The sequence below is a fragment of the Homo sapiens genome, chromosome 20, assembly GCF_000001405.40.
Source record: "Homo sapiens chromosome 20, GRCh38.p14 Primary Assembly".
Lineage (NCBI taxonomy): Eukaryota > Metazoa > Chordata > Mammalia > Primates > Hominidae > Homo > Homo sapiens.
The window spans coordinates 24,453,392-24,471,287 of record NC_000020.11 but is presented as its reverse complement, the minus strand read 5'-3'; the positions used below and the strand labels follow the sequence as shown (position 1 = coordinate 24,471,287).

The 17,896-nt window shown below is 49.7% G+C and overlaps 1 protein-coding gene across 21 annotated transcripts in view, besides 1 other annotated feature; it reads right to left on the bottom strand.

Annotated features, from left to right (window-relative positions):
- The window catches only part of SYNDIG1 (synapse differentiation inducing 1), a 196,988-nt gene extending 195,329 nt beyond the window's left edge, over nt 1-1,659 (bottom strand). For 10 of the 21 annotated variants that reach the window (NM_001323606.2, NM_024893.3, XM_047440499.1 and 7 more), the window contains exon 1: nt 1,535-1,659. The gene's annotated coding sequence lies outside the window, so the exon portion shown is untranslated. Of the gene's footprint in view, nt 1-1,054; nt 1,416-1,534 lie in introns of those variants that run through there. The other 11 variants (XM_017028065.2, NM_001323607.2, XM_011529351.2 and 8 more) reach the window with 3 other exon arrangements.
- Nucleotides 9,220-10,127: an enhancer, noted in NCBI's record as "H3K4me1 hESC enhancer chr20:24441797-24442704 (GRCh37/hg19 assembly coordinates)". NCBI's record gives its function as "activates a minimal SCP1, AML or CMV promoter by ChIP-STARR-seq in naive H9 embryonic stem cells {active_cell/tissue: H9 hESC(naive)}" and the evidence as "EXISTENCE:reporter gene assay evidence [ECO:0000049][PMID:30033119]".

Here is a 17,896-nt window from a genome sequence, read left to right as displayed (position 1 = left end):
GCTCCTTTTCACTTCGGCTGCTGCCAGGATTTCGCGACCTAGACCCCTCTTTGAAGACCACTTCCGATCCCCGACGCGGCAGCCCTTGAGGTCGCAGCCTAGCACGGAGAAGTTGGCCGGCTCTGGGGGCTATGAGGCTGCTCACCCCACAGGCGCAGGTCTACGCAGCACACACACCACCTCCTTCTTTGGACTCAGACCAAACACGCTGGGCTGTAGGAGGGAGACGGACAGATACACGGACTCGCGCGCGCACGCCTCACCAACTGATTCCAACCAGAAAACGGAGCCACTGTGTAACGCCCAGCCCCCCTCCCCTCGACACCCCCAATCAGCCAAGCCTTCGGCCGGTGTCTGCTGCACTAAACACCAGGACGTGGCCAGGGAAGGCGCAGGCATCGGTCCGAGCCAGGAGCGCCGCGGCGCCAGCGCATCTGACGTCGCAGGAGGACTGTGCGCACCTGAAGTCTGGGTGCCAAGCGCCCAAGCCTCTGCGTGCAACGAAACCCCCAAAGGAAAACAGGACTACCAGAAGACCCCTTCCTCTCGTCTTTCAGAAACGCCAAGCGGCCCCTCTGGCCGCCTCCTCAAAGCTCGGCTGCCAGAGCCACTCTAGTAGGGTCTTGCAAAAAGCGCATAGGGACAAAGCCCCTTCCCTAAGAAAAGTGCCCAACTCATCCAGTGAGCCATTCCTTCCTCCTCACTGCCCAGAGAGTGCACATGAAGAGGCAGAAATCACGACTAGGAAAAAGCGAGATTCAAATTGGAACCAAAAAAGCGTATGTGCTCGCTCCCATCTCGGCGCCAGGGCTGTGGCTCCCAGGGCTGCAGGCTGTCGCGGCTGCCAGGGGCCAGACAGCTTTTGAAGGCAGGTCTTGTCCTGGCTAGAGGAAAGAGGCTCCAGGAGTCTCTGCTTCCGCCACGGTCGCCCGTCGGGATTCCCCATCCCAAGCGCGCTTGCACCTTGCCTGCCGCTCCGCTCGGAGAATTAGTCTGTTTCCCTTCCTACTCCCAAACAGACCTAGGTCCCCAGCTCCGTGGCCGCCCGGCTCACCAGCCCTGGCTGGTCTCCTTCGGGTCACTCCGAGGGGCAGCCCGAACCCGCAGAGCCTTGGCCCGCCGCGCGCCCTCATGGCCCTGCTGGGCAGCCTGGCTCCGCTACGCTCTCAGTTCTCGGTCTCACCAGCTCCCATCGAATTCGCACAGCAGCCCCTTCGCGTCTCCCGGGGTGGCAAGGCACCAAGGTGCAGCCCAGGCCAGCATCGACCCCTTCCTGGGCATTTTCTCTGCCGGCTCAGCTCCCCCTCCCGCCCTGCGACCCCGTGTCTCCCAAGTCTCGTCGCGGCGACCACCCGGACTTACCGCGGGCGCCACGCCGCCGCCGGGTCTGCGCGCTCCGAGGCGGAGCCAGGACTAGGACACCCGCCAGCGCAGGGCAGCCTCCAGCTCCCGCCGCCAGCTCGCGGCCCCTGCCGCGACCCCGCCCACTGCGGGCCCCTCCGCCCGCCCCCGCGGCCGGGAGGTCTGGACTTACCTCCGGGACAAGGTGACCCGGCAAGTGCGCCCAAGCGGCCGCCCGCGACTCTCCCGAGCGAGCGAGCGTGCGGGGCGGTGCGGCGCCCGCCTCTGCTCCTCCGCTGCCAGGCTCTCTCCTCCTCTGCCCTCCCCTCAGCGCCGCTCTGCTCCCCACGCCTCTCCCCGCCCTGCGCTCTCCGCCTGCGCCCCCGGCTGCCCCGAGCGCCGGGCGCGGGGCAGCGGCGGCAGCCCGAGCGGCGGGGAGTCGGGAGCTGCGGCGCCGGGGCGGAGCCCAACCCTCTCGGCCCCCGGGAGAGGAAGGGGTGCGGGGAGACTCTCGTCGCGCTCGCCTGGCCGGCAGGCTGGGCGAGGGGCGCCCTGGGGCGAGCCGCTCCTCTTCGCTTGCCGAGCCTGCCGACGCGCGTGCTGGAGGCAGCGGGCGCGGGCCCCGGGGGAGGAGGGCAGGGAAGAGAAGGAGGGCGCAGCCCGCGCGAAGGTGGCCACCAACTTTGGCCCAGACCAGGGAGGCCCTAGCGGGGGATCGCGTCCAGATGGTGGCCCGCGGCCAGTGTCTGACAATGTGAGGGCCACAGAGGCTGGGGGCGGGGGATAGCTGCGGGGGACTAGGAGGACAGGAATTTGCTGCCCGACTAGAGGAAGGGATGGCTCCCCTCGGTCCTAAAGGCCTCCCCAGGCTGCGGTTCGGTTTTGAGGTTAAAAATGACCCAATTTATGGATCCGGCGAATGTTCAAGTCCTGACCAGCTAAGCCCTGGAGGAGCAAGCGGGCGCGGAGTTCAGACTCCAGAGACCCCCTCAGCCCTGAGCCAGCCTGTTGTTGGCCCATGGCGGGCCCGCCCCAGTTGGAATTGGAAGGAAACTAGGGCGGTGGTAAGACAGTCTGCGTTCTAGGAGCGGAGGAGGTGGTGTTTGCAGTGTAGATTTCATAGAGAATCAACTCTGAAAAAAAGATTTACCAGAAAGGGGGTCAAAAGTTATTTAGAAAAGCATCTGTGCGCCCCCGTTTCAACACTAGGCAGAGGCCCCAGTCCTGCCACCCGCAGGCTGGTACACTGGTGGTCAGAGAAGGTTAAGCTCCAGAGTTCCATGGCTCCCAACCTTCCTAGAGCCCTCCCTCCTGCCTGGTAACCCACCATTGCGCTGCGTCTTGCCCAGGTGTCCTGGTGGGCAGGGGCAGGAGTTAAAGGTGGTGCCAGGAACAAGAGGTCCTTCCTATATTCCTTTCAGGGGACGTGGCTTCTAGGGAGCCTCCGCAGCCCAAAGAGAATGCTGAAATGCAGAGTGCCAGAAGGAGGCATTTGAAGGAGGCGCGGATGAGTGGAACCAGTACTATCACCTGAATTCCATCCCCGTCTTCATGTCTGCAGCCCCGCGAGACACACCTGATGTTTCTTCCTTTAGGTCCCCAGAGCTGCAAGGCTGTGGTCTGGAACACTCAGAAACGGGCACTGTTCATTTCTCCCATCTAGCAGAACTTCTCAACTTGGAAGAACATGCCACCACACTTTAATAAAGCAGCTTACCTTTCCGGAGTCCTTTCCTGAATAAAGCAGTTTCCCATCTAAGCCATTAGGTTGAGCAGATACTATTAGACCCATTTGAGGTGGAGAGTCATTGATCCCATTTATCAAATGAAGAAATTGAAGTTTAAAAAGGGTAATTGAGATTGTGTAGCCACCCAATGTGCAGGAGTAGCCTGAAGCTCGGGTTCCCTGCCTCTAAGTCACTGCTCTTTCACTTGCCCAGCCTCTGGATTGACTTTTGAGGCAGATTTTGTTTTGACGAGAGAACACCTGCCTGGGCTGCAGCCAGGACTCGCCTTTGTCTCCTGGGTGCTGTTTGAATTTAATCGCGCCACTGCATTCCAGCCTGGGCGACAGAGTGAGACTCCGTCTCAAAAAAAAAAAAAAAAAAGAAAGAAACAGAAGGTGGACTCTTCCCCCATGACACACACACACACACACACACACACACACACACATCTTTCTGTAATTCAAAGGGGCCTTACACTTCATTTCAAAAGAAACTCACAGGGCCAGGACGTGTATGTAAAGAAACAGATGTCACCCACTCCTGGCAGATGCAGCAGCTCATTAAGGGCTCCTGGTGGGAAGCTCAGTTGCCCAGCACACGATGGGCAGTTTCTCTTACCTGTGATTCCCTTGTTGTGGCTTGAAATATTATCTGGTATGCTGTGATATAGCATTGAAATAAAGACTTTCAAGAAAGTCAGTGAGGAGCTGTCACATATTAGGCAATGGGGCACAGTAGAAATTGCCAAGTCTCTTGGAAACTGGGGTAACCTTCTCAACAATGCTTATCTCTCAGAGGATGTTACAGAACTTTCAGAGCTAAGAGAGGTCTGTGGGCCACCTCCTGTGCTGGGAAGAACTGTCACTCAGGCACCGAGCAAGCTGCCACACCTTCCAGCCAACATTTTTTTTTAACTTTCAACTTTTGTTTTAAGTTCAGGGGTACGTGTGCAGGATGTGCAGTTTTGTTACATAGGTAAATGTGTTTTTTGAGACAGAGTGTTGTCCTGTGGCCCAGGCTGCAGTGCACTGGCACAATCATGGTTCACTGCAGCCTCAACTTCCTGGACTCAAGTGATCCTTTCACCTCAGCCTCCTGAGTAGTTGGGACTACAGACACACCACCAAGCCTGGCAAATTTTTGTATTTGTGGAGACATGGATTTTGTCATGTTACCCAGGCTGGTTTCAAACTGCTCAAGTGATCCTCTTGCCTCAGCCTCCCAAAGTGCTGGGATTACAGGTGTGAGCTACCAAGCCCGGCTCCAGCCAACTTTACATGCCTAGAGGTAGGTGATTTGATGAGGGGAAACACAGATTCAGTACTTTTTCAAATGGGAAATATTCCTCTTTATGTCTTGAACTCAAAAGCTTTTGACTGTGGGGTTACAAACAGCCCTGCTATGCACTGTCTGGGGGTCAACAGTGCCCTTCTAGAAAGCATCTCCAGGTTACCCATGTAAAATGCTCGGCCTCAAACATTGCTTGCAATACCAAAGGTAACAAATCACATACGCAATTTTAAAGCTATGCAATTAACCTGGTTTTTCTTTCCCCCCCAAAATCTGTTATTAAAGGGACTTAAGTGGATGACATATAGGAACTGAAAAGCGGCAGTGTCTTGCTAAAGTTGAATCTTGTTGACTTAGAAGTGTAGAAAGACATCCATTCAGATGCTCAATCTAGACATGATAGGAGGGGCTGGAAAGAAAGCATGAATTTCTATCAAAAGTGAATGGAAAGTGATACAAAACCTAGAAAAATGTCTGAGACAATGTTGACATGAAAGTTTAAACAAGAGAAAAGATGCAAGAGAAGGTCAGAAGGCTAGAGTCGGTTGGGACCTTGGCAGTCATCTAGTCCAGCCCTCTGATTCCACAGGTGAGGAAATGGTTACAGCGAGGCTGAGTAGAGGGGTCAAGGGCATGTCCGGGTCTGCTCAGTTCCAACATCAGCAGTCTTGCCCGTGCATTCATTACAGCTCTTTGAAAAGAAATAAGGAAGAGAGAAAGATAATATGTTTTAAGCAACTTCTATAGTGCTGGTTGTATCAGTTATCTATTGCTGCTGAACAAACTACTCTGAAACTCAGTGGCTTAAAATGATAATCACTGATTTGCTCACAATGCTGTGGGTTGATGATTTGGGCTGAGCCATCTGGGATGGATTGCCTCTGCCTCACACTGCTGTCTGGGCTCACTCAGGCATCTGCGGTCAGCTGGCAGCCAAAGACCTTACATTTCTGGGAGTAGACTGGCTGTGGGCCATGTCTGTCCTTTTCCTGTAGGCTGGCTCAGAGTTCTTCACCCAGTGGTGGCTTCAGGGTGCCCGACAGCAATAAGGGAAGGCAAACCTCAATGTGCATGGCTCTTCAGGGTGACGTCACATCATCTCATTGACCAAAGCAGGTCAAATGGCCCAGGCCAGATTCAGGAGTTGGGGAGATATCCTGTACTCTTTGGCTATAAAGTCACATTGGAAATGGGCTTGCAGTGAGTGACAGGAGGAATCTGTGGCCTTTTTTTTCAATTGACCATGTCTAGAAATGAGATAAGTTCTTTATAAATATAACCTCATTGAATCTTAAGGTCCGTGGGGCCAGCCAGAATGATCGCAGGAAGATGAAGAAGCTGAATTTTGAGAACTGAGTGGCTCTCCTGTCTTCACATTACTTGTGAGAAGTGGGGTGGGATCCAAAGTAGCCAACATTAATAGGGGGTGTCTGTCAGGCATCAGCTGAATGCTTCCCTGCTAGGGTAGAATCTCACACCTCAGAGCCAGCCAAGCCTGGGTTGGAGGCAAGTGTCTGCTGCTGTCTCTCACACTCTATCCTGATTAACTGAGCCTGGATTTCCTCACTTCTGAAATGAGCTTATTCTATGTGCTGCCTGGCATTGTAGGAGGCAAGGGCGGGCTCAGAGTGCTGGCAGTGCCTTCCTGAGTGGAGCTGGCTGGTCACTGTTCTTAAAGACAGTTGGCAAGACAAGAGCTGCTGGTGCTTTTTCTGAGACGTTGAGAGAAATGGCAAAGTCTAGATCCTTGGCACCAAGCCGATGCTGGTGTGAAGACCCTCAGAACCTAAGACCATGACTGTGTCTCTCCCTCAGCTGGGGACCTTCTTGTTTCAAGGGGGCAGAGGCTGAGTGTAGCAGACACTGTTGTGTCTGGATCAGATGCCCCAGATATCAGTGGCTGATTCCATCTGGCTGCCCCTAGCTCCTATGGACTTTGCTGCTCAATGGCTCACACCAACAATGTATTGAGTATTGTGCTCAGTCCTTGGACAGCTTTAGTTTCTCTTCTGAGAATATGAAAATGTGGGCTCCTGAAGAACCACCCAGGCCTATCTAGGAGGGTTGGCAATGCAGCATGGTATGGTGGAGAGGATGCCAGCTTCAGAGGCAGGCCGGGTGAGTTTAATCCTTCACATCCGACCTTTACCTGCTTACATTCAACAAGCTCCTCATCTTCTTGAAATGTCAGTTTCTCCATCTAGAAAGTGGGCATACTGGCATTGAGCATGAAAGGCAAGTCCAGGGCACTGAAAACCATGAGCACGCAGGAGAGGAGCTGTGGGCACCGTGGGCACAGTGCACTGCTGTGCTTGTCAGCAGACCTTTCTAAGACCCATCTTTGCCCAATACCCCATGGAAGCCAAAATGGCAGCTTTTGCTACCTATTATCTGGTGTTCTTATGCCCATTCTTTGTTGGAATAGTTTCCCTCAGCCAAGTTCACAATTTCACAAACCTTAATTGGATAAATTGGATAAGATTTGTCACGCTTCAGTAAACCAGAGGTGCTAAAATACCCAGAAAGAATGTGACATTTGGCCTGTGTCTCCCTTCCCAAAACCAGGGCTGGAGAGCTCAGTCAGGACGTTTATTTGGAAAATAATCCCAGGAAAAAGGAGTGAGGGGCCAGTGGGTGGCCAGCAGGGCGGGAGGGGAGCCAGATGGCAGAAGAATCCCTGAGCTGGTCACTACTGCAGGCAGCAGCCACTCTCCAACCCTTTGGAAGGAAGAGTGTGTTTCTCAGAATCACCCAGCCAGGGGATGAAGAGGAGATGCACCTCCATCAGCCTCTGTCCTCCAGGGGCGGAAGAGACATCACCCGCATTGCTGAGTGGTACCTGAATGTGTGAGGCGGGTTCCCTCTAGCACAAGAGAGATGTCAAAATAGGATCCTAGGAAATCTTGCTGTGTCATTTAAAATGTGGAATTCCTGCATTGCCCAAGTCTACATTAGAGATCTAGATTTCAATTCAAGACTTTAGGTGTCCAGTTTATCTTTTTTCTAAATATGAGCCTGTGTTGAGCCTGGGTCATAAGGCTGCTTAGAGCAGATAATCGCACAGGTAGGTTTTGTTTATGCCGTCCAGTTGGGAGAGATCCTAAACCATCACCAGTGAGCAGCCCATTCACACAACGGACAGCCAGAAATCAGGTAAGACAGAACACTAAGTTCAAGCCCCCCACATGCCCATAAGGACGTGGCGGCTCTTTCTTTTGTTGTCCTGTATGGCTGGCCCTGCAGTTGTTCTGCTCTCTCCTGACCTCAGTCTTCCACTTCTTGTTCTTAGATTGTCACTTGACCTGAACACAGACTTGGCCTTACATTCTCCTGGGCATTTCTGGCTATCATGGGTAATGACCCAGCCTGTCCACACCAGAGCCTGCATCCTCCTTGTGTCAACAAAGTGGCTGTCCTCATGTCCCCCAGAAACCTGCCTCACCCCTGTCCTGCCTGAGCAGATGGCTTCTCTTTGAATTTTATCTAGTTAATAATTTCTATGATTCAGTTAATTATCCCATAATACATACCTATTATTATGACTGAATGTGGTATCATAATCTTCAGTATCTTTAAGAAAATTGTAGTTCAGCTGAAAGCTGGAAAACATGCTTGTTCTCAGGACCATTAGAGATTAGGGGAAAAAAAAGAAAAGAGAAAGAAAAATCTTAGCTTTACAAAACTTTGCTACAGGATGACCTGTGAGGCCAGAATTTGTAGCATATGCTCAAAAACTCGAGCTTCCAAAAATGGATACAGACATCGACTTCAATCTAGGCACCAAGCGAACAGTGCAATGCACCTCTTTACTAAGATAAAGGAAGACTGTATTTTTTTTTTTTTGCTGTACAAGTGTAGCTCTAGCATCAAGAAAAACTAAGAGGTTGGGATTCTTGAAAATATTGCTGGTGCAGAACTAAGCATTTAAACGTCATTAATTATTAGCATGGTTGCTGGCACTTTCTAAAAGGCCTAAGAACCCATTTTTTGGCTCAAGAAGACATATTTCTTGCTGCATTTGCTTTTTTTCTGCGAGCGAAAAAAATTCTTTTGCAAAAATAACCACTTGTGTAATTCTGCAGCATGTGAAACTGGAGGAAGGAAACACAAAGGTAAGCAATTTCATTTTTGTGATTCTCTGTTTATCATTCATATTTTAAGAAAAGAATGCCTTTAAACAAAGGAACTTACTCAGGCGAGTGCCTGAACCAAAGGCAACTCTCTGCAGCATGCTGGCTTCTGTTCCCTGGGCAGTTGTCATGCAGATCAGCACTGGCCCACAAAGAACCCTTATTTTGCTTCTGCACAGCTGGCATGGCAGCTGGTCCTTAGGGGCATTCCTTTAATGCAGTTTGCTTGCTATCAGGCACCCAGGTCCCACAAGGGTCTCCTCCCATAGCATGTATTAAGCATGGCCTCACATCATCTATCCAATTTGGGGGTACAGGACACATTTGCCCTGGCCAGCAGCATAAAGAAGAGTTCCTTCTGTTCAAGAGCCACCTGAAAATACAGAATTGATTGAAAGAGGACTCATCAGCTAAGATAGACCTTGTCAAATGTACATAAAGCTTTTCTCACCCGCAGCCATGGCGAAAAAAATAGCAAAACAAAGTGATTTAACCAATAACGAAGAAGCTGTTGTATCCACAGTGGTAGAGTCACACTTTGGGAGGCCCAGTCCCCAGATGTATTCTTTCCTTGCCTCTGTGTTTGTCAGTTGGCTTGGCGAGTGTTTGTTGGTGTCTGCTACTGGACAGATACAGAGCAGCTGTTGGGGGCACAGGAGCAGGTGAGCCTGGCAGGTATGGCCCTGCCCAAAAGGACAAGTAAACAGCAGTGATTATGCAGAGTGATGACTGCTCCAAAGGGGAGAGGAAGGGCTCCTGGGGGAGCAGAGAGGGAGGGGGCCCCATGAAGACAGGGAGTAATCAAGATTGCTGAGACCTGAGGAGCAGGGGTGGCCTGTGTGTGGGTGCTTGTGACCCTGGGGGTGGGGGAAGGCGGTGCTCCTAGGGGCAGTGTTGCTCTTTCTGATTTTTGAGTTTGAAGAAGCATGGAGCACCAGAGTGTAGGATGCGTAAGGTGAGGCCAGAAAGATGGGTAGTGGTCTCATCACTAAAGGCCTCACACCAGGTTTTAGGAGATTGGGCTTCATCCTGGGCTGCAAGCAACCTGTGAATAGAGTGATAGAATCGGATTGGTATAGGTAAGCTGTGAGTGATCTTCCCCAGACTGCAGAGAATGGTGATGAGCCTTGATGATTCTTCACTTGCTTTGAAATAGTCACACTGATGTTTCTCACACTCTTTGCAATGCAAACACCTGAAGGCATGGGCCATGACTCTCTGTTAGGGTGGCCCCTTGAATCCCCATTTCCTATCCCCCTTTCCTGGCTGCAAAGCTAGCCCACCCTGGAAGGAAGATCCATTGACTACATCCCACTTCCTGGGAACATGACAGCGGGCCTGCCCCCCTCTCTGTGGGCTGCACCCTCTCCTGTCTGGAGCTTTGTTATTTATTCACCTTTTGTGCTTCACTTACTGGACTGGAGGCTTTTCCAGTGTAAGGACTACATGTGTTGCACAAGTGTGTGTCCCAGTGTGCAGGTGCATGTGCGAGTATGAAGGCGGGTGTGGGGGGAGTGTCTTCATCTATCTCCAGACTCCCAGCAGCATCACCCTGAGCACGGCTGTTCCAGGTTAGAGCTGAAGAGCTTCGGAGAGCTGCACATGGCACCACATGAATGTTTTGGGATATTTGTACTGCAACAGTGCTTATTTCTTACAATTCATAGATATTTTGTGTCTTTTTTCTTTCTATACAAATATATTTGGTAATTAATAACTTGCATTATCTCTAATAATAATGTACTTTGTCCTGTCAAGAAACTGTTTAGACTCCCCAAAAGCAAACAAGTAGAAAAATACATTCTTAAAAAACAGTATACATTTATTTCTCATAATTCTGGAGGCTGGGAAGTCCATGCTCAGCATGCTGACAGGCGAGGACTCTCCTCCTGGTGGAGGATGGCTGCCATATCACTGCATCCTCACGCGGAGCAAGAAGAGGTCAGTATCTTCCTCATCTTACAAGCACACTGATCTCATCATGGGCGCCCATTCTTGTGACCTCCTCCAGCCGTAAGGACCTCCCGCAGGCCCCAACTCCGAATACCATCACATTGGGGTTTAGGGTTACAATGTATAAATTTTGGGGGGAGACACAGACATTCTGTTCATAACATAGTGTAAACAAATAACAACTGCTAGCCATATGCCATGGCACACACTTGTAGTCCCAGCTACTCAGGCAGCTAAAGCAGGAGAATCACTTGAGCCCAGGAGTTCAAGGCCAGCCTGGACAACATAGCAAGATCCCATCTCAAAAAAAAAAAGAACCCAATTGCTGCACTGAAAATTTTATTTATTTTTTACTTTTTTGTAGAGAAGTCTTGCTACGTTGCCCAGGCTGATTTCAAAATCTTGGCCTCAAGCAATCCTCTTACCTCAGCCTCTCAAAATGCTGGAATTATAATTGTGAGCCACCATGCCCAGCCTGAAAACAGAATTTTCAACAGCAACATGTCTTTTTCCTGCAAACCACCTAACTGTCCCCTAGTTATCAAGGCAAAGGCAGAGCCCAGAGAAGTAAGCAGGGCACCCGCAACTTCATGGGGGTGGCACCCTGAGGCCTACCTCTGCCTTACCTGCCCCTCAGGAGGCACGTTGGTGGAGAGGGTTGCAGGGGCAGGGCTTTGAGCCTGCACCTGCAGTGGTCTCACAGCACAAAATGCGCAGCCCACCAAGGTGGGTGCAGAGTTCAGGGCCTCCTCCTACAGGGACAAAGCTGCAGAGCCACTCTGCAGGTGGGCAGGCTCCCTGGCTCACTGACCTCCCCACCTTAGCCTCACTTTACTAAGCCAGCAGCCCTTTGTGCTTAGACAGTGGGTTCTGATTTGTCTCCCTCTGGAATTTCCACTGATTACTTCTGCCTCAGTTCTCTCTCCTTTCAGCCTCTCCAGATCAACTGGACCCGCTTCCCTCCTGCAGAGTCAAAGGGAACGTGAAAAGGGAAAAGTCAGGACATGCCCAGCAGCCTGAGTGCTCCAAGGTGACAGGGCAGGCTGAACCTCCCAGGTGAGTGGGCTAGAAGTTTAAAGGAGCAATACCAGCAATCCTTTTTTGCTGAAGAAGAAAGGATATCACATCTTCCCTTTATTCTAGCCCATTGGGGACTTGACCCCCATGGGCAGTTAGTGCCACATAAATAGCCTGTTAACAAAACCAGAGTAGTGAAATAAGAAGGATCCAATTTCTACTATAATTGTAAAAGAAGGCTCTGCTGGAGATCCCTTGGCAGCCTTCACTTTCCTCCTAGATCAGGACAGGACTGGCATGGTGGAAAGGTGGCAGCGTGGTGACCAGGAGTGAGGGTATGGCCAGGCTGCAGCTCCCTTTGGCTGCACCATCTACGGTGGAACAACCCTGGGTGGGTCCCTTCCCTCTCAGGCCCCAGGTGCGGCATCATTGCAGAGTAAAAGAATCAACATAGGTAAGAAATGTGGCACAGCCAAGGTTTTCAGTGTGTGCCCATTTGCTGTTGATGGTGAAGAAGAGGCTTCGGCTGACTGTGGGATGGGTAGGGGAATGTCTGATGTTTGGGACCCACCTGAGTTCATCACGGAGCCACCCATGATCTGGGCTCAGCACTGACCAGAGTCTCCTTCACATAAATTCTCTTCTACTCCTAAGGAGACGCCTCCTCCACAGGTACAATGACCCCTTTTGCAGATGAAGCCGTAAGGCTCCTGGGGTGGTGCTGGTGTTCCAGAGAGGCACTAGCTCACACTCACAGATGGGGGCTCACTCTGAACCACAGTCTGAAACCTGATGTTGTCCCTAATTCCTTTGGCATTGACTTCCCCAGCTGCTATCTAGCTCCCTTCTTCCCCTTCCTTGGTCTTTGGACTTGACATCATTCTTCTGTATCAGACCTCAGTGTCTCTCAACAACAGTCTGGAGCATGATCCTCACTGTCCTGCTTTGAACAGCCCCCTCTCAGTTGAGAATAGAACCCTGCTAAGTATAAGCAGGAGAAGGGGGCAGCACTCAGGGCTCACCACAACCTTTGGAACTGAGAGCCAGGCACCCAAAGTCACATTTGGAAACTGGAAGAAATGCTCTCTGCATCCAGGCCCCCTGACTCCCAGTTTTCCTCCTGTCACAGCCTGTCCCTCATCCACTGACCTTGGAGGGCTCCATCTGTGGACTGTGTGTAAAAGTGAACAGATGACAGTTCCCTGGCAGGCATCTCCCAGGCTTGGACCCGGTGAGCCGATCAGATGGATGGGGATGTGCACAGCCTGCTTTGCACTTTTCCTTCTCTGCTCCTGGGGCAGTGCCAGGGTTGTGTAAATCAGGGATCCAGTGTCAGATTCTGCAGGAAGGAACCCCATCCCTTCTGAAATTTCCATACCTCTTCTGTATGCTCCTTTGTCACTCCTATCAAAGAAAGATTCATTCATTTTTTACAAAAAGGAAAGAAAGAAAGAACAGAGCAGGGAGAAGGATAAAGCACCTTGACATCTAGGCTAGTGGAGCAGGAACTCGAGCTCACAAGGAAGGAGACAGAAGATAGAACCTGCTTTTGCTCCAGATTCAGTGAGTCGCAGCTTGATCTGTTTCTCAGTTATTTGGTATTTGCAAAATGAGGATTCTAATTTCCAGATTTTACCTAACACAGAAGGGCAAGGGGAGAATGAATAAGTTTGTGTTTCTGCAGAGTACGTGTGTGCTAGAAGGTGCTGTGTCAATAACTGGAAGAAACAGAAATAATATGAGCTGGATATTTGGGACACATTGTATGTCTCTTGATGGTTCTGTGTTGACTCAAATTCTGCTTGAGCAGAGGAGTGTTTTGAATCCCTTGAAGCTGCAGTGAATGCCACCTTTCCACCAGGATGGGGCATATATTTCACATGTGGAGAGCCATTCTAGTTGATACTTCATTATTTTCTTCCCAGCTCTGTAGCAAGAACTCTGAGTGTGTCTGCACCCATTCATCACAGCCCACTGAGGCAGGGACAGTATCATTGCCATTGTTCACATCAGGGATGGATTCTGTAAGAGGTTCCATACCTCCTATGAGTCAGTATGGAGCTTCTGGGCTGGAGAGAGCCCTCCCTGCAGCATTCTGATGCTAGGTTCAGGCTTCTAAGGGTTGACCTGCCTCAACTCCCCCAACATAGAGTCAAGGGCGGTGTTGAAGATCTTCTCATCCTGGTCTCATCCTCATTTTCATGTACTTTATGAACTTCTGTTTCCAAACCCTCCCACATAAGAGCCACTCAGGAAATGTTCCTGGCTGTCATGCTTTATCTGTTCAGAGCAAATTATTTCAGGGGGGACCCTGTGTAATCCTGCAAGACAGATGCCTGGCATGTGGACCATGTACCCTTCCTTACAGTCTTCTGGGGCTTCCCTTCCTTGTCAGGCTGGGGTTTCCTTTGTGCAGTAGGAACCCTTCTGTATGTGCAGTATGTCAATTATTCTACTCCTGCAGTCTTTGAATCAGCCATGATTTTTTGGTAAGAAGTCTTTATTTACCTGTGTGGTTACTGGCTGTTACTAGCTTACTATTTAGTCTTCTCTGGAGGTGAAATACTCTAATTGTGTCAACTTTCTTTCAAAACCTACTTTCTAATCCCCTTAATCAATTTCACCTCCCAGATCCCCAGACCTTCTCATGAGGTCATGGGGCTCCAGTCACAGAGACACAGCTCTGGCCCCACGTGGGGCATTGTACTAGTGACTGGGGCTGAGTATCCTGGATCCTGGTGGTCTCCACCCTGATGCCCTGTGATGCCTGTGTCTGATCTGTGTGCCCACTCTGCAGTTTCTGCATGCTTTTCTTCTAACTGCAGCCCATGCTCTTTCTTCATGGGGCTTGGGCCACGGGAGCTGCTTAGCCTCATTGTTCAGAGAGCTGCAAGGGCCTGTGGGCGCATATCCTTCCTAGTGGTCAGTAACTCATGACTGACAGGCAGGAGTGGGAAAGTCCAGCTTCCTTGCTTCAAGGCAAGACAAATTCGGAGGGCTTGCTTGCCCTCCAGAGGCCTCTTCAAGATCAGGCTGAAGATCTCCCTACAAGATTGTTCCTGAGATTGAGCCTGGCTTGACTTTCCCCTTCCCCACCCTCCTTTCCTGCTCCCTCCCTGACCTCCCTTGGCGCCTCTCCCGTCATCAGTCACTTGCCTGTGGATTCTCATCGGAAGTCTGATTCTGGGAGAACCTGCCTAAGACACTTGGATCTTGTGACTTGCTCAAGGTCTCAGAGGCTATCTGAATAATCTCCTCCCTGTGGCCTGAGCTTGTTGTTCACCCATCCCTGTGCTGGGGTTTCTCACTTGAGCTAGTGCCTCTGCCAGTTCTAACTTCCTGAGACTACAGCTAAGACACATAAAGGGAAGATGCTCTGAGACAGCAGGACATCCTGCTGAGGGGTCAGAGTGCTTGGGGCCAAAAGGCTGCTCTGACACTTATTAACAAGAGTGTGCATGGGTGTGACTCTGTGTGTGTGTGTGTGTGTGTGTGAGAGAGAGAGAGAGAGAGAGAGAGAGAGAGAGAGAGATGATCCCTGGGCAGGTCACTTAGTCTGAAACTGAAATGGAGTCATCAACAGCATCTCTTCATCATGGATCAGCTGTGGGGGGGTTCCATGACATCATGCATAGAATGTCTTGGTATGGAGGTGACATTTGCATTCAATATACATTAACTGTCACGATGCATTAAACACTCTCTGCTGTCTGCGCTTTTTCTGTGTACAATGTAGCCCTAAAGGCAATTGGGAATGTTGTTAGGAGAATTGTATCCCAATCAGGGATTTAAGAGGACCTTCTCCTGTTCCCCTGGGGATGGGAACAGGCAGAGGGACTCAAACAGTAGGAGACAGTGTCCCTGACATTCTGAAAAGAGGACAGTAGAAGCTGGAAGACACACAGACTGCTTCTGAGGAGAAGGGAGGCAGGCACTCGAATTCATGGGCTGTGGGGTTCACAGAGCGGTGAGCACAAGAATCTGTCACCCGCCTCTGCAAAAGGTCAACGCGGATGGCTTCGGCTCCCCAGGGGACAAGAAGACATTCGTCTCTGGAGTCAATGGTAAAAACAAAAAAATAAAAATAAAAATAAAATAATTTACTCTTCCCTTTGGCTCATGCAGCAAGTGATGCTTTATAATTAGAGGATTTTTCCAGGGAAGGAACGTCAGGAGTTGATGGCACCAGTGCCTGCTTATTGGATGCCCACACATCAGACGAAAAAGGACAAAACACTTAGGGAAATAAGAAGCCATTTAGAAAATAAATCCCCGGGGAATCTTTTGAATTTCAATGGGCCGAGGACAACTGCCATTTTTCTATTATATTCTCCTTTCTTCACCTGCAGGCAGACCATACTTTTCCAGGGCTGGCTGAGCCTGGGCTGTTCATGAGCAGACACTCCTGAGCCGTCCTGGAAAAGGGAGATCTGAGTTTATGGGAAACAGCTCGCCTTCAGATAAGCAGGCAGTCAAGAGACACAGTTCACTCAGCAAACACTCGGTAACTTCAGCATGTCGTCTTAGATGCTAGAGTAGAAGATGATTCAAGCACAGCTTCTGCCTGGCAAGGGCTTGCAGTCTAGCAGTGGGGAAGAGACGAAGCCAAGAACATCCAAAGCAAAGGGAGAAACTGCTGTGAAGGAATGCAAAATGAGGGACTGGGGGTCAAAGAAAGGAAATTGTGTCTGGAGCCCAGGGTCAGGACCAGGCACAGCCCCCACCCTGTGGGGCGAGCCCAGGGCCTCCAGCCCAGCCAACTGGGGTGGGGTCCTGGGGTCATGCCGCTGGTCTCCCCACAAGAACCTTATTATGAAGAATTTGGTCTAAAAAGACGTTAAAATGGTACATACCTGCAGACATTGTGTTTTATTATATTTCACTTAGCTTTGTGATCAGTTTAAATATTTTCATGATTTAAAACATTTTCCCAGAAATAAAATTCTATTTTATTACCTCATGAATAGGGAAATTAAGGATTTAAATCAAGATGGCTTGCTTTGGCATCTAGATTCAATGAAGTGGTTAGTTAGTTGTCTTTGTGGCTTGGAGTGGAGAGAGCGTCTACGAAAAATTTTCTGATCAGCTCCTGAGCCATGCTGTCACAGCCAGATCTTTGTAGATGGAGCACAGGTGGCTGGTGATGATCCCTCCTCAAGTACACCTCTCTTTGTATCTTGGTGAAGCGCTCATCTAAACAACTTGTTATGTGCTTTCCTAGCCAACCATCTTCTACATGTTTAACAAAATCAATATATTTTTTATGATTGTCTCTAATTAGGTTCCTGATTTTAATTTCTAATTGGATATAGCATCGTTATGTTGCATTTTTTAAGAATAAATCATTTGTTTCACTAATACATTCATATTCTTAATATGTTTCACTTCTTGCAAAAATATTAGGTTGATTTATTAAACTGTGCTTAATAGATTGGGTTATATTATTAATCATGCAATAGTTTTATGTTAAAATAAAAATTAGTAGCTAATTTAGAGAAACCTGAAAACTTTCAGACTCTGCTTCCCCATTGATTGTGGAGGCAACTGCATAGTGCTTGATTTTTTCTTTCCTCTTGACCATATGGATTTTCATTTACTCTTTCTGAATATACTTCTGTTTGCATGGATTCAAACTTGCTTCTAAGCTTTCCTTCTGATTAATACTGAGAGCAGAAACCAACAGGACTTCCTGTTCACGTGTTAAGCAGTATTGGGACCAAGCAGAAACAAACCTCCCAAGAAGCAAACAGAGCAGGAAGTTGGGAGAGTGCTCCACAGAGTCCCTCTTCTTGGAACGTAAGGCTCAACTCAAGAGTCTTCTCACCAACACCTCATTTAAGACCCTCCCTTTGCTGTGCCCTTTAATCCTAAACTCTGTTGTCAGACTCTGCCAGTTCCAATCAATTCCTCACTTTTCAAGACTTGCCTTAACAATCACTGAGCTCAGGCCCTGAAACCAATGCATAGGGTCCCCTGACTTTGCCCTTCTGAGAACTACTAATACCATCAAGGTGGAGGTTTTTCTTTTTGCAGTAGGTCTTTTTCTGGGGTCCTTTCAAGGAGTGGAGTGGACAGTATCCGGACGACGACAACTTTTCTCCAGGCTGTAACCTACATTCCAGTTGATTCCCAGCCTTGGAAGCACATTTGATTCACATTAGTAGTTTTAACAAATCCTGATACCCAGGCTCTTCCCCAGAACAATTAAGTCAGAAATTCAAGGTTTTGTGGGTGGGGGGTGGGGTGGTGGTGGGCCTTGGCATTTGTATTTGTAAAGCTCATTTGTGAATCTTATGTGCCTCCAAGGTTGAGAACCACAGATGGAGAAGGTGGACATTCGTCACTCAATTATGTAATCACTCACTTTTAACAAATGTTTTTTGACTGCCTTATCCATGGCAGGCACTTCTTGGCACTGGAAGTAAAATATGTACAAGA